This window comes from Homo sapiens, chromosome 10 (genome assembly GCF_000001405.40).
Source record: "Homo sapiens chromosome 10, GRCh38.p14 Primary Assembly".
Taxonomy (NCBI): Eukaryota; Metazoa; Chordata; class Mammalia; order Primates; family Hominidae; genus Homo; species Homo sapiens.
Window position 1 is genome coordinate 5,086,395 of NC_000010.11, and position 21,832 is coordinate 5,108,226.

The 21,832-nt window shown below is 36.9% G+C and overlaps 1 protein-coding gene and 1 non-coding gene across 4 annotated transcripts in view, besides 2 other annotated features; one reads left to right on the forward strand and one right to left on the reverse strand.

Moving 5' to 3' along the window:
• AKR1C3 (aldo-keto reductase family 1 member C3) overlaps nt 1-21,292 on the forward strand; it is a 58,906-nt gene extending 37,614 nt beyond the window's left edge. The window contains exons 1-9 of one of the 3 annotated variants that reach the window (NM_003739.6): nt 8,020-8,134; nt 10,016-10,183; nt 11,040-11,156; nt 12,408-12,485; nt 12,933-13,055; nt 15,707-15,816; nt 16,091-16,256; nt 19,201-19,283; nt 21,067-21,292. In NM_003739.6, the coding sequence (NP_003730.4) occupies nt 8,051-8,134; nt 10,016-10,183; nt 11,040-11,156; nt 12,408-12,485; nt 12,933-13,055; nt 15,707-15,816; nt 16,091-16,256; nt 19,201-19,283; nt 21,067-21,109 (972 nt within the window). In that variant the 5' untranslated portion in view covers nt 8,020-8,050 and the 3' untranslated portion in view covers nt 21,110-21,292. Of the gene's footprint in view, nt 1-8,019; nt 8,135-10,015; nt 10,184-11,039; nt 11,783-12,407; nt 12,486-12,932; nt 13,056-15,706; nt 15,817-16,090; nt 16,257-19,200; nt 19,284-21,066 lie in introns of those variants that run through there. The other 2 variants (NM_001253908.2, NM_001253909.2) reach the window with 2 other exon arrangements.
• Nucleotides 3,503-3,797: a silencer, noted in NCBI's record as "tiled region #11333; HepG2 Repressive DNase matched - State 12:CtcfO, and K562 Repressive non-DNase unmatched - State 13:Ctcf". NCBI's record gives its function as "represses a minimal TATA promoter and a strong SV40 promoter by Sharpr-MPRA in HepG2 and K562 cells {active_cell/tissue: HepG2 | K562}" and the evidence as "EXISTENCE:reporter gene assay evidence [ECO:0000049][PMID:27701403]".
• On the reverse strand, nt 7,014-7,149 carry LOC124900291 (U8 small nucleolar RNA). The gene has a single exon (XR_007062398.1). It is a non-coding gene; the product is annotated as a U8 small nucleolar RNA (small nucleolar RNA).
• Nucleotides 7,863-8,157: an enhancer, noted in NCBI's record as "tiled region #1972; K562 Activating non-DNase unmatched - State 6:EnhF". NCBI's record gives its function as "activates a minimal TATA promoter and a strong SV40 promoter by Sharpr-MPRA in K562 cells {active_cell/tissue: K562}" and the evidence as "EXISTENCE:reporter gene assay evidence [ECO:0000049][PMID:27701403]".

Genomic DNA, 21,832 nt, shown 5'->3' on the forward strand with positions numbered 1-21,832 from the left:
TTTCTTAATCCTGAGTTCTAGTTTGATTGCACTGTGATCTGAGAGACAGTTTGTTATAATTTCTGTTCTTTTACATTTGCTGAGGAGAGCTTTACTTCTAACTATGTGGTCAATTTTGGAGTAGGTGTGGTGTGGTGCTGAAAAGAATGTATGTTCTATTGATTTGGGGTGGAGAGCTCTGTAGGTGTCTATTAGGTCCGCTTGGTGCAGAGCTGAGTTCAATTCCTGGGTATCCTTGTTAACTTTCTGTCTCGTTGATCTGTCTAATGTTGACAGTGGGGTGTTAAAGTCTCCCACTATTATTGTGTGGGAATCTAAGTCTCTTTGTAGGTCACTAAGGACTTGCTTTATGAATCTGGGTGCTCCTGTATTGGATGCATATATATTTAGGATAGTTAGCTCTTCTTGTTGAATTGATCCTTTTACCATTATGTAGTGGCCTTCTTTGTCTCTTTTGATCTTTGTTGGTTTAAAGTCTGTTTTATCTGAGACTAGGATTGCAACCCCTGCCTTTTTTTGTTTTCCATTTGCTTGATAGATCTTCCTCCATCCCTTTATTTTGAGCCTATGTGTGTCTCTGCATGTGAGATGGGTTTCCAGCACACTGATGGGTCTTGACTCTTTATCCAATTTGCCAGTCTGTCTTTTAATTGGAGCATTTAGACCATTTACATTTAAAGTTAGTATTGTTATGTGTGAATTTGATCCTGTCATTATGATGTTAGCTGGTTATTTTGCTCGATAGTTGATGCAGTTTCTTCCTAGCCTCGCTGGTCTTTACAATTTGGCATGTTTTTGCAGTGGCTGGTACCGTTTGTTCCTTTCCATGTTTAGTGCTTCCTTCAGGAGCTCCTTTAGGGCAGGCCTGGTGGTGACAAAGTCTCTATATTTTCTAGTTTGTGCACATAGAAATGTTTACAGGAGTCACTGATACTCTCTTGTATTTCTCTGATATCAGTTTTAATGTCACCTTTATCATTTCTTTCTTTTTTTTTTTTTTTTGAGGCTCGCTCTGTTGCCCAGGCTGGAGGGCAGTGGGGCAATCTCAGCTCACTGAAACCTTGACCTCCCAGGTTCAAGCGATTCTTCTGCCTCAGCCTTCCAAGTAGCTGAGATTACAGGCACACACCACCATGCCTGGCTACTGTTTTTTGTATTTTTAGTAGAGGCGGGGTTTCACCATGTTGGCCAGGCTAGTCTCGAACTCTTGACCTCAAGTGACCCTGCCTCAGCCTCCCTAAGTGCTGGGATTACAGACGTAAGCCACTTTGTCCAGCCTCACCTTTATCTTTTCTGTATTGTATTTTTTTGAATATTCTTTTTTTTTCTTTGTTAGCTAGCTGACTATCAATTTTGTTTATCCTTTCAAAGAACCAAATTTTTGTCTCATTGATCCTTTATACCTATTTTTTTTCTTGTCTCAATTTCATTTAGTTATGGTGTGACCATTCTTATTTCTTTTCTTCTGCTAACTTTGGGCTTGGTTTGCTCTTATTTTTCTAGTTCCTTAGAAGTGACTTTAGGTGGTGAGTTTGAGGTCTTTCTATCTTTTCAGGGAGGGTTTAACACTATAAATTTATCTCTTAGCACTGCTTTCCCATATCCGAGAGATTTTGGCATGTTGTATGTCTATTTTCATTCATTTCAAAAAATCTGTTGAATTCTGAATTTCATTCTTTACCCAAAAGTTGTTCAGGGACACATTGTTTAATTTTTCATGCACTTGTATAGCTTTGAGAGTTCCTCTTGATATTGATTTCTAGTTTTATTCAACTGCAGTCTGAAAAAATACTTGATATGATTTTGAGTTTTTAATTTTATTGAGACTTGCTTTATAACCAAGGATGTGGTCAATTTTTGAGAATGGTTCATGTGCAGGTGAGAAAAATGTGTATTCTGTAGTTGTTAGGTAGAATGTTCTGTAAATGATTATGATGTCCATTTGGTTCATATTCCAGCTTAAGTCCAGAGAGTTTTTTTTTTGGCTGATTTTCTGTCTCAATGATCTGCAACATTTATAAGTGGGGTGTTGATGTCATTTACTATTATTGTACTTCTCCCAGTCTGTTTTCTTAGGTGTAGTAGTATTTCTTTTATGAATCTGGGTGCTCCAATATTGAATACATTTATATTTAGGATGGTTAAATCTTCTTGCTGTATGGAATCTTTATAATATAATGCTCTTCTCTGTCTTTTTAAAATATCATTGGTATAAAAGTCTGTTTTATCTAGTATAAGAATGGCTAGTCCTGCTTGCTGACATTGATATATCATGTAAATGAAAACAAATCTGTAGGTGTCATTAGACCTAATGGTAGATCTCCTGTAGATAAAAGCTGTTGGGTCTTGTCCTTTTATCAAATTTTCTGTTCTATTTCTTTTAAGTGGAGGATTTAGGTAATTTATGCTCAAGGTTAACCTAGATATATGAGCTTTTGTTTCTGTCATGGTCTTGTTAGCCAATTGCTTTAGAGACTCAATTGTGCAATTACTGTATAGTAATTATGACCTGTGTACTTCATGTCCTTTTATGATGGTATCATAATATTTTTATATTTAAGATTCCTCTGAGCATTTCCTGAAGGGCTAGTCTAGTGGTGACAAATTCCCTTAAAATTTGCTTGTCTGTGAAAGATGATTTCTCCATTTTTTTCTATAAAAAGGCTAAAAATAGGCCCCCAATATCTTCCGACTTTTAGGTTTTCTGCTGTTAAATCTGTTTAGTATAATAGGATTTTCTTTAGAGGTGATTTGTAGCTTCTCTGTAGCTGCTTTTAAAATTTGTTCATTCTTATTGACCTTGGGTGGTCTGGTGACTGTATGCCTTGTCGATGTACATTTAGCATAGTATCTTTCAGGTATTCTCTGAATTTTTTGAATCTCATTTCTAAATGTCTATCAGGATAAAGAAAATATTTCTGCATTATTTCTTCTACTATGTTTTTCAAACTTCTTACTTCTCTTCATCTTCCTTAGAAATGCTTATTAGTTGTAGATTTGATGGCTTTATATAATCCCATATTTCTCAAAGCCTTTGTTCATTTATAACAATTATTTTCTTTTTTAAATTTCTGACTGGATTAATTTGAAAGACTAGTCTTCAAGATATGAAATGCTTTCTTCTGCTGGTTTAGTCTACTCTCAAAGATTTAAACTGTATTTTAAAATTCCTTCAGTGAATTTTTTTGTTTTCAAATTTTTGGTTTTTTCCCAAAATAAGTATATCTTTTTTTCTTTCCTTGATTGCTTTTGTAGTTTCTTTGTGTTTGTTTTTGACCTTCTCTGGATCTTATTGAGCTTTCTTATAATCCATACTTTGAATTCTATACCTGACGTTTCTCAATTTTATTTTGATTAGAGTCCATTGCTGGAGACTTAGTGTAATTTTTTGACAGTACCACAACATTCAGATTTTTTATGGTGCAAGAATTCTTGTACTGGATTTTTTTCTCATTTGGAGAAGCCGAGAGTTCTTGGTTTGAATTTACATTCATTCCGATGGAATTCTTTTCTCTATTTTTGCTTTATACCTCTGCCCTTGAGGGTGTGATTGTAGAGTGTCATGAGTAGTGTATTTTGGCTTTGCTTCAATAGCCCTATGGCACTTGTGTTGGTAGGTTTTTACATTGAGTTGCGCAGTTCAATTCACAGGCCAGTAGAGGGTACTTATGAGTAAGAGCCAGCTGTGCCAAAGCAGATGGGTATATACTCGATCTTTGTTTACTGTGTGAGGCTTTCTGTTGTTTCAAGTGATGGGATGGACCGTGGAATGATCAGTGCCCTGAGCTTCCTATTCAGTGTGTGACAGAGATATATCTGGGTAGAGCTGGAGTAGCTTAATTACCTGCAAATACCCCAGTGATGAGCACAGGCACCAGCCCAAAGAGAGGTTACCAGAGAAACTTCTGTTGTAAAGCATGAAGTTCTCTGTGGGGGTTAGGAAACTGCACTGATCCACAACCTGGGTAGTCAGTAACACAATCTGTTTCCCTAATACATCCCTGTCTTGGGCCTTGTGACTCTCAGTTCAGATGCACACTGCTGTCTATCTCCAGGCCACAGTGTAGCTGAGAGCCATAAAATAAAAAACTACTGTCCCATAGCTCTCTAAGGAAGTGATAATTGGGGTAGAACCTCTTCACCCAGTTCAATATAGACAGCTTTGTGGCTCTCATGTAGTGTGAGGTGGTAATGCTGCTTCTTCATGGAGATAGAAGGAGAGGCTCCACCTTTCAGCACTTCTGTGTTGGTATCAGCTATATTGGTGTCATCTGGTTGGGTCAGCCCAGTCTCAGGACCCCAGGGAAGTGATCACATGCCAGCATTGTTATACTGTGTTGGGCAATTTTCCAATTTCAAATTTCACATTTCCCAGGCCCCTACATGGTAATGGAATGGCATGTATGAGGAAAGAAGACTGATGAGTGGTGATGAAATTACAAGACAAAGTGAGACTGTTCTGTCCTAGAAGTCAGATGAAGAAATTGTTTTAAGAAAAGAGTCAAATGCTATTAATAGGACAAGTAAGATGGAGTCTCAACATTGACCATTGGCATTGACTATTGACCTTTACAAAGTCAAGAATGTTTTGATAGCATGATGGAGGCAAGAGTCAGAATAGTGTGCATTCAATAAAGTGTAGGATGAGAGTAATTAGATACAGAGTGTAGAACATGTTCAAATAATGGCCTGTAAAGGGGACCAGACGATTGAGCAACCACCGAAGAAGAAAACGGAGTAAAATGAGGGTTATTTTTGTGATGACAGTAAAAACAGCATGCCTGTGTGCTCTTAGGGAGAACTTAGCAGAGAGAAAAAAAACTGATGATGCAGGAAAGAGAGAATGAGAATTGCTGAAATTACGTCCAAATTAGTTTTCTGTTCCTGCTGTAACAAATTACCACAAACGTTATGGCTTGAAACACCACAAATTAATTTTCTCGAAGTTCTGGAGACTAGAATTCCAAAGTCTGGTTCAATGGGCTAATGTCAATGTGGCCACAGGCCTAAACATGTATTTTTCAGAACATATCTCTAATGTTAGGTAATACATGACTGCAATTACTTTGTCATTTTTTATTTATGTCTTTAGCTTTTTGTCCTTCATATCCTCATATCCTTAATTAACAATGTTTTTTGTGTATGATTTTTAATAATATTTGTATTCCTTTCTCAATTGCTCTTTTATTTATTCTGTAGTTATTTTCTTTGTAGTTACTCTTGGGATTATATACAGCACCCTATAGTTATAAAAATCTACTTTGAAAGCAATGCCAATTTAACTGCAATCCTATACAAAACTTCTTCCACAGCTTCGTTTCCACTTCACATTATTGATTTCATGAATTACAAATTTATACATTGTGTACATGTTAACATAGATTTATACTTACTTGTACACATTTGTATTTTAAACGTTGAAGAAGTGTAGAATAAAACCAAACTTTCAAAAACACGTATTTTCACATTTTGCCATATGTATACCTTTAGTAAAGGGCTTCATACTTCTATATGGTTTCAGGTTACTGTCTAAAATGCTTTTATTTTAAGCTGAATTAGTCCCTTTACCATTTCTTGCAAAGCAGATCTAATGGCAATGGACTCTTGCAGCTTTTATCTCACATTGTATTAATAACTTTCTAATTAAAAAAAAATTTTTGCCAAATATAGATTTGTTGGTTGGCAGTTTTATTTTTACCACATTAAATGTATTACCTATTACATCCTTCAAATTGTCTAATCAAAAATCTGTTGATCATCTTGAACAGAATTTATTGTTCTGTACATAATACAGAGTTATGTTTCTCCTGCTGCTTTTAAGATAGTCTATTTGTTGTTGGCTTTTAGAGTTTGATTTTAATGTATGTGGGCCTTGGTCTCTTTATCTGAACTCCAGTTCTTTAAGTTACTCACATATTTAGATTAATGTCTGTTGCCAATTTGAGAACTTTTTGATGATTGTTTTCACCACATAATCTCTCCACCCCCATAGGCTCCTGCTTCTCCTTCTCAGAATCCAATGCTGTGTATACTACTTGGCTTGATGGTGTCCTACAAGCCCTTTAGGGTCTGTTCACATCTCTTTACTCTTTTTTTTTTTTTTTGCCTTAGACTCAAGGATGTAAAATATCTTATCCCTAAACATGTAGATTATATCTTCATTCTGCTCAAATTGCTGTTGAAATCCTCTAGTGAGATTTTCACTTCAGTTATATCGTTCAGCTCCAAAATTTGTTTGGTTTATTTTGTATAATTTCTACATCATTGTTGATACACTCATTTTTCCGTATATGCTTTTCCCAATTTCCTGTAGTTCTATTTCCATATTTTTAATTGGAAATTTTAGCATATTTAAGATAATTGTTTTAAAACCTTTCTCTACTAATTTCAGTGCTCATGGTTCTTCAAAAATAATTTCTGTCAACTCGTTTTCTTTCTTATAAGGGACTGTGTTTTCCTGTTTCTTTATATACCTTATTATTTTATTTGAGCATTTCAAAATATAGACATTTTTCTAACTCTATATAGATTTGTTCTGTGTCATGACGATTATCAACTAATATGCTTGGTATGTTCTTAGTCTTAGCATAAGCCCAACATAAAACCCTAAGGCCTTGTCAGCAATTTTCTGAACTTGTATCTGCCTGGACTGTGTGTGCCCATTAGTAGTTCCCCCAAATACCTACTGGCTTTTGAATAGCTTACTATTTCAAAAATTCACACCCCAGCTTCCCCTCAATGGGTTAGACGGACTATTGCACGTCTCTTCCCCTAATCTCTTGCCCTTGGCATCATACTACATTTCTACTCAGCACCCCCATAAATAAATAAGTTTATTTTAGTCAATTTCAGATCACTTCTTGACGCGTCCATGAGACAAGTAGGGGCCTTTTGATCCACCATATTGCTGAAATCACTCTGTAAAAGCTTTCAATGATTTTATATTATATTGTATCAATGTATAATAATTAACTTATTTCTCAACTTACTTTTTGGTTATTATTTGAGGAAAAGTAAATAGAACGAAATCAGGGCATTGCAAGTTCTGACAACTCCAAGATGTTGATAATGTATTGTGCAAACTACATTCATCATGTTCTAATCTGCCCTCCAAAGGAAGGAACAAGTGAAAACTATCCCACATGAGAATTATTCATCCATTTATATGTAATTAATTTCCAGTTTTTCCTTACAAATAATGTTTAACAAGATGACAGATTATATAAAATGGTTATCAGTTTTTTGGCTAGTTACTTCTTGATAGTCTGTAATAAACCTGGTTGAAGAACAAATACTATTAAGGCACTGCTTGCATATATTAAATGATGTCCAAACTCCAAAAACTGTTAATAATTAACACTCCAATAAAAACTACACCAGAATTTCTTTTTATTTGCACCCTCATCAGGATTACAGCTTTATCAGGACTGCATCTTCTTCAGAAATGAATATTTCTCTTACAACGCAAAGAAAGAAAAATCAAAATAAATTTTCTGATTGAAAATGTAAAAAGGCAAATATTTTTACAGTTTTAACTTTAATTTTTTATTGAGGACCAACTATTTGAAAAATTCTCATTAGTCATTCCTTTAAATTATGTGTATGTGAGAGAAAGACGTAAGATGGTTAATTATTTCAAATGATGCAGTATAAAGAAGGGGCATTATCACGGCAGAAACGAAAAAAGATATTTGTAGCTGGAGGTTTTTATAGTCTAACATATGGTTGCTATTTGTTCTACAAATCCTTTTGAATAATTTAATATAGAGATTTAGAATAGAAAATAATACTTTAGATAGAAATTAATGAGTTTATTATAACCATATATTATAATAATTTACTTAGGAATTCTCTTTGATAAGAAACAAATGAACTGAATGCAATTTTCTCCACAGACCATATAAGACTGCCTATGTACCTCCTCCTACATGCCATTGGTTAACCATCAGTCAGTTTGCAGGGGTGGGGGGAGGGGTTTCCTGCCCATTGTTTTTGTAATCTCTGAGGAGAAGCAGCAGCAAACATTTGCTAGTCAGACAAGTGACAGGGAATGGATTCCAAACACCAGTGTGTAAAGCTAAATGATGGCCACTTCATGCCTGTATTGGGATTTGGCACCTATGCACCTCCAGAGGTAAGAATAATTCCTTTTAGTTTTCGGATTTCAAAAGAATAAACCTAGTAGAAGTGAAACCCGTATTGGGTTGTAAGGTTCGTGTTCCTACCTTACTCTGGATGACTCACTGGTCTAGGTTTCCTAGGCTAGGAGAAAAAAGTAGGCAATCCTTGTTCTGCATTGAGGTCCATTCCTATGGTCACGTACTGCTTATTTTTCGTTTGTGCACTGTTTCTTTCTTCTGTTCATGTCTAGTTCCCAGCTTGGCAGAATATGTAAAACTCAGTATTGAAGAACACTGTTGGTCATCTCCCTCTGGTGGAGATTAATTGCAATAGGAGTGATTTCTCTGTTTCTACAACTGAAGAAATCTTTCCATCTTCCAAGAACATACGATCCAGAGAAATACTTATAGCAAAAATTACTGGATATGGTGTGCACAAAACTGTCGGCAGAGTATCACTGTTCTGATGGGCGGCAGTGAGTGCCACCCAGTATTACCGGACCTGGACTAGAGTTTCCACTGTACTATTTCACTTTTAAAAAGAACTTCCTGAAAGAAAAAAATACCACCTCATTTTAAGTAAAATCTAGAACCTAACAAAGGAAAGTCTAAATTCTTAGTCCTTTTTTGTATGCATCATATTTGTATCAAAGTGGTAGGAGTGGTCTTCTGACACAAAAATGAACAAAATGGAGACCTCATTTTCTAGATAGAACTTGTATTCCAAGACTGTCCTCAGGCTACTAAGTGTGTGAATAGGAACTAATTATTGAAATTTGAGTCTCTCACTTTATCGATAAGTTGTGATGATCTACAAGGATACATTTTCTAGACCAGTGACAAAAGTGGTTTAATTTTTAATATAAATTGGCATGGGCAGGAAATGAAAATAACGACACAACTGAAGCTCCAGCCTTGGTAAACCTTTGAGTGTTGGCACACTTAAAGACTGCTCTCAAAAAAGATTTAAAAAAAAAAAAAAAGACTGTTCTCAGGAGATGGCGGGGAGACCGTTATCTAGTTCCTTGTAATTTCAACGAAACAAGAAAGCTTCTTTAAATACATGTAAAAATGAAAACAGTTTATTTATATTTTTGTCATTAAAAAATACCTTTCAAATCTTTATCCAAATTTGGTCAATAAGTCAGTAATTTTAAATTTCACTGGAATTCTGTCTTTCCTGAAAGAGATAGCCTTATTTTTTATGGCAGAACTGTACCTTAGTAAATTCTTAACAGATTTCAGTGAATTTTTAATGTACAAATCGATATCCTCAGAGTATACATCTTTACCCCTAGTGTTCAGTTCTGTTGTGTAGCCAGAATGACTATGCAGAAAAGACTTAATAGACTACTATTCACAGATGCTTTATTTCCCAAGTGAACCCTAGTTGGGTCGATGTAACTAGCATCCAGTCAAAATCTCAAGAACTGAGACACCAAAGAACATCTCTTGTAGACAGCATTTCCCAAATACGATGTTGGAGGAAGTCTGAGTGAGCATTCTGTGTAATATCACTGGGAGAGAACTCATATGAGCTTGCACCGTTTCCCTTCTATACTCCATGTGATTTTTACCATGTATAATATCACTATATTAAAAATAATTAGGACTATTTCAGTCATGTTAACTTTTCCAACAAATCACTGAATCTGAGGGTGTTATTTGGTACCTCCATAACAGTGATCAACCAGAGATTGCCTGAGACTGAAGGTGTTTCTGGGATGCTCAACCTTTATTACTAACCAGGAAAGACTCAGGCAAACTGAGATGGACTTTTCACCCCACATACAGACAGGAGGAAAAGCTGATTCTTGTATAAAAGTCAATGCTTGTGCCTGAACTACCTCTCAGCCACAGTGATCACCAGATACTACCTTTGGTTGCTCCTCCAGGTTCCGAGAAGTAAAGCTTTGGAGGTCACAAAATTAGCAATAGAAGCTGGGTTCCGCCATATAGATTCTGCTCATTTATACAATAATGAGGAGCAGGTTGGACTGGCCATCCGAAGCAAGATTGCAGATGGCAGTGTGAAGAGAGAAGACATATTCTACACTTCAAAGGTACTGTGTCTATGATGAGCTTGTGTGCACATGTATTTATTGTGATTGTGTGGAGATGACAATTCTATGACTGGATGAGTAGTTGTGGGTGAATTTTGCTTCTGGGTTCAAATTTATTCACACATACTCACATACTAAAACTGAAATCAAAATCAAGGAATGATGATCACTTTTCATTTTGGCTGTGTTCCAATTTATGACCTGAAAGTCCCTTTACTTTTTTGAGCTTCAGCTGAGATCAGTGTGATTTGACATGTGCTATAGAATCACAGAGAACAATAATCATGTTATGGTTTTTCTTATCGCCTGGGTGATTTTCTAAGATTTCTTATTATTCTCTCAATTGCTATCTTTATCAGTGAGATAGAAAGCAATATAAGAAAGCTCTGGGAGTATTAAATAATAGACACTTAAATTGTCCTAAATTGTGTCCAGCATAGTGAGCATGTTCAAAACTTGTTTTACCCCCCTTTTATGTTGCTTTAGTTTCTAAGCAACATAAATAGCTATTCTTAAGCATTGGGTTGAATGGATAGAAGAATTAGACTGTTAAAATGAGTTGTAAACTCTACTGAAGATAATTCAGGTAACATCATAGTTATTACTTAATACTAATCTTTACATTTTAAGAATTTACTCCTATCATTCAGTAGATGTACAAACTATACATCCAACGTATAATAAAGTTTATAAGGATAGGTCAGAGCCAAAGGAATCATGAGAAGGAAGAGAATATGTTTGCCAGTGGTCATAAATTTTGAAGCAGTAGGAAAATATCTAAATACTAGATGGCACAAAGTAATAAGATTTGCTCAAGCATTCATTCAAAATCACCTCCATTCTTTAACCTCTGCAGCTTTGGTCCACTTTTCATCGACCAGAGTTGGTCCGACCAGCCTTGGAAAACTCACTGAAGAAAGCTCAATTGGACTATGTTGACCTCTATCTTATTCATTCTCCAATGTCTCTAAAGGTATGCAGTTTGTATGAGCATAAAATTGCGCTTCTGCTGTCATTATAAACATTGTTTATCTGGATAGTTGAACAGAGCTTTTTATTAGGAGGATGTAGGGATTATCACACAGAAGAAGAACCGTAAGTGGAACACCTAATTTCCTTTCTTTCGAGTAAATTTTGAATCCTACTTCTCTAATGCACACCTACAAGAGAAGAGAGTACAGCAACCTCAAAGCCTCTTCCTCAAAAACTTGAAATTACAATAGTCTCTTTCAAGGCACTGTCTTAGTTGTGGCTTTTGAGTCCATCTCTTGGGATGTTCCCAGACACAGAGTTTCATGCAGTTGTGGTGCCCAATAAAACTGCTGCACATGTGATGCACAATGAGTTTCCACCATCTCTCCCCATTTCAAGCTGAAGCAGATTTGGTGGAAGCCACTATGCATGGTTCTTAAATTAGAAACCCTTAATGTGGACTTGCAAAGCTTTATTATTCTGCTGCCTCTTCTTTCACAATAGAGTTTGAAGCTGTATTTAGCCAGGAATTACTGTGTAGTGTATAACTTTTGATTTAAAGTTACAGAAAACTACTCAGGCTAGTTAATGCAAAAGAGTTTACTGAGTTATGTAAAATGGGAAGTCAAAGACATGGCTACATTTAAGGATATGAAATAGTCTACAAAAATGTATCATTTGTCTATTCTTATCTCTAAACTCCAACACTTTTTTTTATTATTGTTGACCCAAACTTTTTCATTGGTGGCGATTATGGCTTTGGAGCAGCTCAAGGCTCATGGTCATCACCATAAGACAACTCCTCTGGGTCTCCCAACTTCTGCTGACCCTATGTGATTCACAGTCCTGCCCAAAGACTATCAACTCTTCAGGTGGTCTGATAATCCTACCGTGTACAAGAGTACAATCCATTATTTTTGGATATCAAGGTATTTCCAAATCAAAGAGAGGTACTTCAATAGAGGAAATTATAAGGGCGGAATAAAGTGACATAAGTCAACTGTGAAACTTGATTAAGACCTAGAAAATGGTCCTTTTCCATGCATATAATATTTGTAAGAGATTAGAGGAAGCCTGTCTCCTGAATACATTCCTTATACCTTCATATGTAAAACACTTAGCACATATCACTTTCTGGAGCATTGTACCACCTGTCTCATGGAGGATTAGTGTCCTTAAAGGTACCTGGGGTTACAGCTATGAGTGGAGAAATTAATTTGTGACATCATTAAAATGACTGCTTCTATTTCAGCCAGGTGAGGAACTTTCACCAACAGATGAAAATGGAAAAGTAATATTTGACATAGTGGATCTCTGTACCACCTGGGAGGTGAGTGCTTGGCGGAGAGGACACAGAGAAGGATGACAAAAAGAGAAAATCTGTTTCCCAGGTTCAATAGGAAAGAATGGAATATGCACCATTAGATCTAGAAATTCAGAAACTTTACAAGAGTAGCTTTGGTGAGATGAAGGGAAAAACACAAAAGGAATGTTTAGAGAGTGGGGCACAAGACTTGGGGGCAAGGAGGACAGGAATCTCTTTCCTTGCTTGTGCATTAATCTATCCAGTTTCCTAAGGAAGAGATAGAAATTCTTACTCTTGCTGCCTCTATCTTCTTCCCCTATTTGCTGTTTGAATTTTTCTTTTTTTGACAATCACTGCTAGCTATTTTCATTGTCATACTTTGAAAGTTGTTGCTCTCACAGTTCTGTCTTGCATTTACCGTGATTTGCAGCCAACTGCACAAATAATTCCTCACAACCCCTTTCTCCACAGGCCATGGAGAAGTGTAAGGATGCAGGATTGGCCAAGTCCATTGGGGTGTCAAACTTCAACCGCAGGCAGCTGGAGATGATCCTCAACAAGCCAGGACTCAAGTACAAGCCTGTCTGCAACCAGGTGAGCTCCCTTGGCCTTCTCTCCTTTCGGTTCTTCATGCCCCCTCTTCCTGTCCTATTGCCAAATATCTGTTTGTTTTGTCCCAGTTATCTTTGTGAAGTAGAAGATTATCTAGAGAGCAAAGCTTCTGTCAAGAAAGGCGTGAAGATTTCTTGTTTGTACCCTGCTTGGAAAAGTATTAGGGAAAAATTGGAATGAGTTTAATGCTGAATCGTGTGTAATATTTAGGGGAGGTCCATTTGATCAGGGAGGCCTGGAATCATCAATTAGAACTCAAGGAAAGGTGGACTTACCTCTAAGCTATGAAAGATGACCAGAAAGTGCATGGGTGAAGGTGATTTGGAGGGAATGGTGTATAGATATGAAGCTAGGAAAAGATGAAATGAGCTGTACGTGAACAGAGAGTTAGAATAAGAGAAGAGAGGTGCTAGGGGTTTACATGGAATTTGGATGTCTGAATGCCTCTTCTTGATGTTTCAACAATTCTTGACCAGGGGCATAGATATACTAAAAATTAGCTGCAGACAATGAAAGTCATCCATGTCAGAAAGAGAAAAATTAGGCCGGGTGCAGTGGCTTACGCCTGTAATCCCAGCACTTTGGGAGGCAAAGGCAGGTGGATCACCTGAGGTTGGGAGTTTGAGACCAGCCTGACCAACATGGAGAAAGCCCATCTCTACTAAAAATACAAAAAATTAGCTGAGTTTGGTGGCACACGCCTGTAATCCCAGCTACTTGGGAGGCTGAGGCAGGAGAATCGCTTGAACCCAGGAGGCAGAGATTGCGGTGAGCCGAGGTCACGCCATTGCACTCCAGCCTGGGCAACAAGAGTGAAACTCCGTCTCAAAAAAAAAGAGAAAAATTACCTGTTTATGGAGGTAACTGTTCACAGTGGATGAAATCAACACTGAGGAACTTTAGCAGAACATAGACCTGACCTATCACTGCCCATGTCTTAGTCTGCTACTTCTCTTTGGGGTCTGTCATCCAATCAGTTGTTTAAACACATCTATTCTATGCATGGTTTTTTCATAGCTTAGGGATAAGTCCTTTTTTCCCCCTGAGTTATTGTTAATGATTCCAGGCCTCCTTGATCAAATTGACTTCCCCCAAATGTCACAAAAAAATTCAAAATTAAAGTCACTCTACCTTTTTGCTAATTTACACTTTTTTATTCTTTTATACAACTTAGAGCCAATGAGTAAAGATCTACCATTGAAATGTGAAGTGTATAAAATTTGTGAATTTGGCCTAATGATACAGTTCCATCATATCCAAATAGAAACATTAAGAAAATGCAGTTTTAATATTAGTCCTTCAATTTTTTATTATGATAATTTTCAAACTTTCAGAAAATTTGATAAAAATAATACACGATTCAACATAACCATTTATATTCAAAATTGTTAACACTTTGCCACATTGCCAAATATTTATGGCAAATGTTTATGTGGGTATATCTGCATAAATACATATAATATTTTCAAAATCTCTTTAAAATAAATTGGAAAGATGACAATTCACCTCTATAGACCTAAATAAAGTATGTCACAGAAATGAAGACATTCTTCCAGCTACAGTATAATTATTGTATCTAAGGAAACGAACTGCAATGCCCTCATGTCGTTTAACATCCAGTCTATATTTGAATTTCCCACTGTTTAATGGAAATGTCTTTTATAGTGCTCCCTTTTAAAACAGAATGGAAACAAGTTGTGAGCTGATCTGTTCTTTATAATCATAGGTTTCCCATTCAGCAATTACTTATAATCCACTGGGTGATAATTCCTAACAGAAGAAGTCATATTCCATGACAAATTTTCACATATGATTGTGTAAACATCACTAATACTTTTGTATTTAATGGTTATTTATTATTGTATTTATTATTTTTTGGAGTTTTTAGATAATCATTTTCAATTTTAAAACCTTATTTAACTATTCTTACGTGACATTTTACTATGAAAAAAAATCCTTCACCAAATCAAAATGAAGAACAAATATTCCTCAAAGACAAAGTTTAATACTTGCCTCTAAATATCAATTTCCTAAGAGATTACTATAATAACCACCAATGGTGGAGGCAAATTATTTTGTTCTTTCTTGCTCTCTGATTATCTCACTCATTACTCTGGACTTGGACATTTTTCCTTAAGATTTTTAATTAATTTTATTAATTTTTGTTAGTGCTCATTCTTACCCAATGGGTAGATTTTTTTCTTGATGCTGAAATCTATCCAAACATCACCAGTGACATTTCTTTGAAAGTAGTGCTTTTGTCTTTCAGACTTGCACTCACGAGTCCTTGACCAAATTCTTGCTTTCTGGCACAATCTGAAGCCCAAAGGCTCTAAGAATCTTACTGTATCCCAGATATGGAACTTGTTACATCTCCTTCTAGTTGTCAAAGGTCTTTGGAAGCCAGGATCTGATTCATAGATGAGCTTCTGTTCAGAAATGGCATTTCCATTTATACTTTTAGAAGATATATAAAATTTATTTCTATGAAAAAGGTTATTACTTGACAATAATATCCTCAGCTCAAATATAATGCTATACTGATTATTATTCAGCTTCCTTACTTTCATCTTTTCAATATTAACATAACTATTTCATATAAATTGATGCTTCTCTCTTTTGGTCAACTGCAGGTAGAATGTCATCCGTATTTCAACCGGAGTAAATTGCTAGATTTCTGCAAGTCGAAAGATATTGTTCTGGTTGCCTATAGTGCTCTGGGATCTCAACGAGACAAACGATGGTAATAAAAACAATGGGACCTTTACATAAACCTTCATTTTGCAGAAAATTTTTTAGTCAGAGCATCCTCAGTTTCCTGTAGTTAAGTTTCAAGTGGCTCATGGAGAGGAAAGAGAATTGCATTTCTGACGAGATCTTGGATGATGCTGATGGTGATGCTCGGGGGCCTCGCTTGAGAAGCTCCGGTGCAGAGTGGATGCCTTAGTCTGTTTAGGGAGCCGCCTAACAAACTATCGCCAGCCTCAGGGCCTCAGCCTTTCTGCCTTTCCTTCCAGGGTGGACCCGAACTCCCCGGTGCTCTTGGAGGACCCAGTCCTTTGTGCCTTGGCAAAAAAGCACAAGCGAACCCCAGCCCTGATTGCCCTGCGCTACCAGCTGCAGCGTGGGGTTGTGGTCCTGGCCAAGAGCTACAATGAGCAGCGCATCAGACAGAACGTGCAGGTGAGGAGCGGGGCTGTGGGCCTCAGGTCTCCTGCACAGTGTCCTTCACACGTGTGCTTCTTGTAAGGCTCTCAGGACAGCCTTGGGCCAGCTCCATTTCCCTGTATTTCCCATATGAATGCTTTGCGTGCATCCTGAGGGTTTCTTCTACTCTACCACGGGAGAGGCAGCACAGGTGCAGAGAATTAAGATGGGACCAAAAATGGAGATTTTTTTATTTCAGCATTAAGTTGACAATCTACTCTGCATCCCTGCACCAGGAACATCATTTTTTCATGTTGTTTGTTTGGTTTTGGTTTTTTTTTTTTGAGACAGAGTCTCATTCTGTCTCCCAGATGGGATGATTCTCCTGCCTCAGCCTCCTGAGTAGCTGGGATTACAGGTGCCTACCACCAAGCCCGGCTAATTTTTGTAATTTTTAATAGAGAAGGTATTTCACCATGTTGGCCAGGCTAGTTCCAAACTCCTGACCTCAGGCAACCCACCTGCTGTGGCCTCCCAAAGTGGTACTACAGGTGTGAGCCACCGCTCCTGGCCTCCTCTTCATCTTCAGAAATGTGGAGTAGCATTAGGTGTTCTTTAGTCTACCAGTCATTGTGGATTTTTCATTTCCATTTCTTCGTACGCTCAGTTAAAATTTCACATATTTATTCACTTGGAGTTTTCTGTTTGTGTACTGCCTGTTTAAGTCTTTCTTTGACTCTTAGTTGCTTGTCTTTTTTTTAAGTATAGGAGACCATAATTATACTATTAAATAGAGCTGTTAAACAAATCACCCTCAACATAGGGGTTTAAGATGAAAACCACTGATTTACTCAGGATTCTCTAGTTAGAAAATTAGCATGGCCTCAGCCTGAACTTAGTCAAGTTCTGTTCTTGGCTGGGCTCTCTCATGTGTTTGCAGGACAACGAGATAGCTCTGCTTCAAGATGTCAATGGGACATTTGTCTGGGTGCCATTTTCTCCTCCATATAGTTCATCCTGCAGCCATCCAGCCCAGACTTCACCTCAGCACATGGCATGACCCCAAGGCAGTGAGTGGACACATGCAAAGCCTTTTCATGTCTAGGCTCAGGGCTGCCACGCCATTGCTTCTGGCAAATATTACCCACATTACAGGACAGGCCAGACTCAAGGGATGGGTAAACAGACACCACCACTTATTGGAAAGAGCTAGAAATTCATATAACCAAGCAAGTGGATACAGGGACATGTGAGTGTTGGAGGAAGTGTTTCTTATTAATCTATGATGGATTAATATATGATAGGTTAATATATATGATAGATTGATATATATATTATAGTTTAATAAGATATATGAGATAGATTACACATACATACATATATATATTCTGGGTATTAATCGTTTAGAGATTTAGATGTATTATTGAAGTACCACCTCCCAAATTGCATATGTGCTGTGGTTTTCTCTGTAGTTATGTATTCATGAACAAAAGTTGCTACTTTTCATGTAGTTAAATTATTCATGCCTCTTTCCTGTGGTTGATGAGTGGCATGTCTTTTCTTATATTGGGAACATGACAATCTTTTAATATGTTATCTTGCAAAATTGGTAATTCTCTTTACTTATAAATTAGTTGTAAATTCAAATGAATTTCTTTTTCAATACTAAGTAAAATAAAAACCCAAATATGCACATGGAATTTCTAAATTGATATCAAAAGGTGCCACCAACAATTATTGAAAAGCATTCACATTTGCTCACATATCTTGATTTTTTACTCTACCATAAATGAAACATTCATTCACAAATAATATTCTTGCCTCTCTTTTGTCTTCAATTGACTTATTTACTTTTCTGTACTGTCTAAATAATGAAAGGTCTTGCTACCAGAATGGTACAACTTTTTTTCTAACTCTTTATTTTATTTGATAATATCTTGATTATTCTTGACTGACTATTCTGTTATATGAAATTTTGAAACATCAACATCCATGAAAGAGTACATATTTTAGTCTTTGGTTGATATTGTATTGAAACTGCAGTTCACTGTGAAGAGAACTTTTTGACAATATTGAGACTTTCAACCTATGATGAATTTCCAACTATTTAAATGGCCTTTTAATATATATATCATTAATTTTATAACATTCTCCATTAAACCATATGTATTTTTAAATATTTATCCATAGAATACTGAAAATTATTAGAACCTCTTGATAACGTTTTCCTTTTTGTTTTGTGGATTTTCTAATGTGTAGAAATGTTAAAAGAAAAATGTAATGAACACCTTTTACCTAGACTAATTGTTAACTTGTTCATGTTTTTTATTCTCTCTCTCTCATTCTCTGTATCACTATTAGAGTGATTTAGTCAATTTATAGATTTATTCAATTCCATGTGTTAGCAATTAGTGGCATCCTCTTGATATTTAAAGTCTCTCAAATTTAGAGAGTAAGATACACTTCAAGCCTGTATCTGTTTCCTTTAGACATGAAATTGTTAGTAATTAGACAATTCCTGCCTTGAATTATGTTGAAAACAAATGTTGTTTGCATTATACCTGTTTATTAAAGAGATATAGAAATTCAACAATATCTATCAAACTTAATATATAATCTTGTTATTTAAAAATTTGCCTCTAGATTCTTGTGGGCCTTCTAGGTACATGACCCTATCATGTGGGCACAATGTGACCCTATCATGTGGGCACAATGTCAGCGCTGTTTCTTCTCCATTTTCTGTTGAAATTTTCTCTTTGTCTGCAGAGTTGCACAGTTTCAATACATAATATCTAGGAATGGATTTCTGCTTATTTTTCGTGAGCTATTCATTGACCCACCTGAGTGTTTAGAGCTGACTTCTATAACTGTTTAAAACTTACCAATATTTTAAGTATTGTCTCTGCACCCTACTGTCTAATATACTTGGGGATTCACAACTGGCAATCTAAAAATAATAAAAGTTTTTTATTTCTGATAGGTTTTTGAGTTCCAGTTGACTGCAGAGGACATGAAAGCCATAGATGGCCTAGACAGAAATCTCCACTATTTTAACAGTGATAGGTAAGTTTCCTTTGTAAATGGGTGATCTAATTTATTTCTGGAGAAGGAATGTAGGATGGGTGTTGAGAGTGACCTCCATACCAGAGGGACAGAGGCCAATGTGAGTCAGAGGTGAGACTGGAACTCTCCTGCTGGATTCACTCCAGAGCTCTGTTCTCTGGCAGGGTGAGTGGGCAGGGATCAGCATGGGTCAACCTGTGCCTCTGCTCTCCTGACTCCATGGAACTTTCCAGAGCAGCCAACATCATTGCCAAGTCTGCACGTTCCATATAGGCCTGGTGTTTCTACCACTGGACATGCTGTGGATACTGCCCATGTGACTTCATTAGATGTTTCCAAATCTGTGCTTATATCACATTGTCCCAAACCTGCTCAGCTCCTTATCAAATCAAAAACATTTCCATCAACTTTGTGGTCCAGGTGCCAATTCCCACCTCCTTCATATGGAATTGCTTGCTAGATCCTGTCAATTCAGCATCTTTTATTATTTCAAATGTTTTTCCTCCTTCTCCTTGCATGTTTGTTCATGCCCCAAACTCTGCTTTTGCCTCCAGAAAGCCTTCCTTAGTGGAGTGAATAGGAGCGCTTGTCCTTGATTTCCTGCAATATGGAGCTCTCAAGGCAGAGAATTTAAAAAAATTTAAAATCAAGGAGTGTGAGTGTGGAGGCAGAAGCTCCATTGTTGTATATAATTTGTAGCTGATAAAAGATCTTTACTATTCCTTCATGGTCTAAGGTTCTAGGATTCATAGACGGTCATTCATGTAAATGCAGGAAAAGCAGGAAGTTATGGCCGGGCGCAGTGGCTCACGCCTATAATCCCAGCACTTTGGGAGGCTGAGGTGGGCAGATCGACTGAGGTCAGGAGTTCGAGACCAGCCTGGCCAACATGGTGAAACCCTGTCTCTACTAAAAATATAAAAATTAGCCAGGCATGGTGACACTTACCTGTAATCCCAGCTACTTGGAAGGCTGAGGCAGGAGAATCGCTTGAACCCAGGAGGCAAAGGATGCAGCAGTGAGCTGAGATCACACCACTGCACTCCAGCCTGAATGACAGAGTGAGGCTCCATCTCAAAAAAAAAAAGCAGGAAGTTATGTAACTGCTGGCAGTGGAAATTTTAACAAGTGATAGGGTGAGATAGTGTGTGAAAAAGCATAAGTACAGTGGCCCTTCATAAGTGCTTAAAAATTGGTAGATATCATTGTTAATATTTTTTTAGTTTCAAGGAAAATAAATAAAAAAAGGAAACCATGTAAAAGAAAGGAAGAGTAGCGAGCATGAGTAATTCTTATCATCCATTAAAAATGTAATAAGTTGGTGTTTATCTGTTCCTTTATATTTCATGTTATTTCTATATAAGAATTTTTAATGCACTGTAGCTCCTTGGATATTAGACCCTATATCATATATAACAATTTACATTTCTGAATCTTACAAAATATATTGCATACAGTAGACAGTAGCAGGTAATAAGTAAAGTAACAAAAGAAAGTATAATCAGAGTATCTCTGCTCTGCTGACAGATGTACAGGAATATACTTGAATATTTGACTTTGTGTGTTTTACGTGTTAACTTCCAGATAAGGGAATATGATTGAATAATTTATTATTTTGAAAATACTGTATTATGAAGCCATGTTCATAAAGGTAAGAAAGGCAGATTCTACAACTAGTCAGACAACTTAACATTCATACTAATGACAGCTTCATTGAAATCACTTTACTACTCCCCTAGTAATGGAGTCATTGCATTTATATTATACATTATTCTCTTTTCAGTTTTGCTAGCCACCCTAATTATCCATATTCAGATGAATATTAACATGGAGGGCTTTGCCTGATGTCTACCAGAAGCCCTGTGTGTGGATGGTGACGCAGAGGACGTCTCTATGCCGGTGACTGGACATATCACCTCTACTTAAATCCGTCCTGTTTAGCGACTTCAGTCAACTACAGCTGAGTCCATAGGCCAGAAAGACAATAAATTTTTATCATTTTGAAATAATTGAATGTTTTCTCAAAGATTCTTTACCTACTCTGTTCTGTAGTGTGTGTTTTCTTCTGGCTCAGAAGTGTGTGTGTGTGTGTGTGTGTGTGTGTGTGCTTTCTTCTGGCTCAACAGGGCTAAAAACTGTGTGATTTGCCTGTAAGTTAGGAGTGGGGGAATAATAATCATTTATAGACATACTATAGTGGGACTGCAGTAGAGTTTTCAGCCTCTAGAGAAGGAGCAGGTGACAGGTGTGGATCAGTTAGTGCCTCTTTAGCTCTTTCAGGAAGAACTCGCACAGCATGAACTCTGGAAGGTAAGCGATATTGACAGGATGACCAGCAATCCACAGGCTCCCTACAGCAGCGCAAGGGTCAGAGCTCCTGGAGCCTGGGGAGGAGGCATCCCTGTGAGAGGGGTGGTCAGGGCACCCACCAAGGAGAAATAATTGAAAGAAGCTATGGGGGAGGTTAGGAGAAGGGAGTCAATCCCATCTCTGCTTGGAAAATATTGGCACTTTTTTTGATAATCATAGTTGTAAATAAAACACTGAAC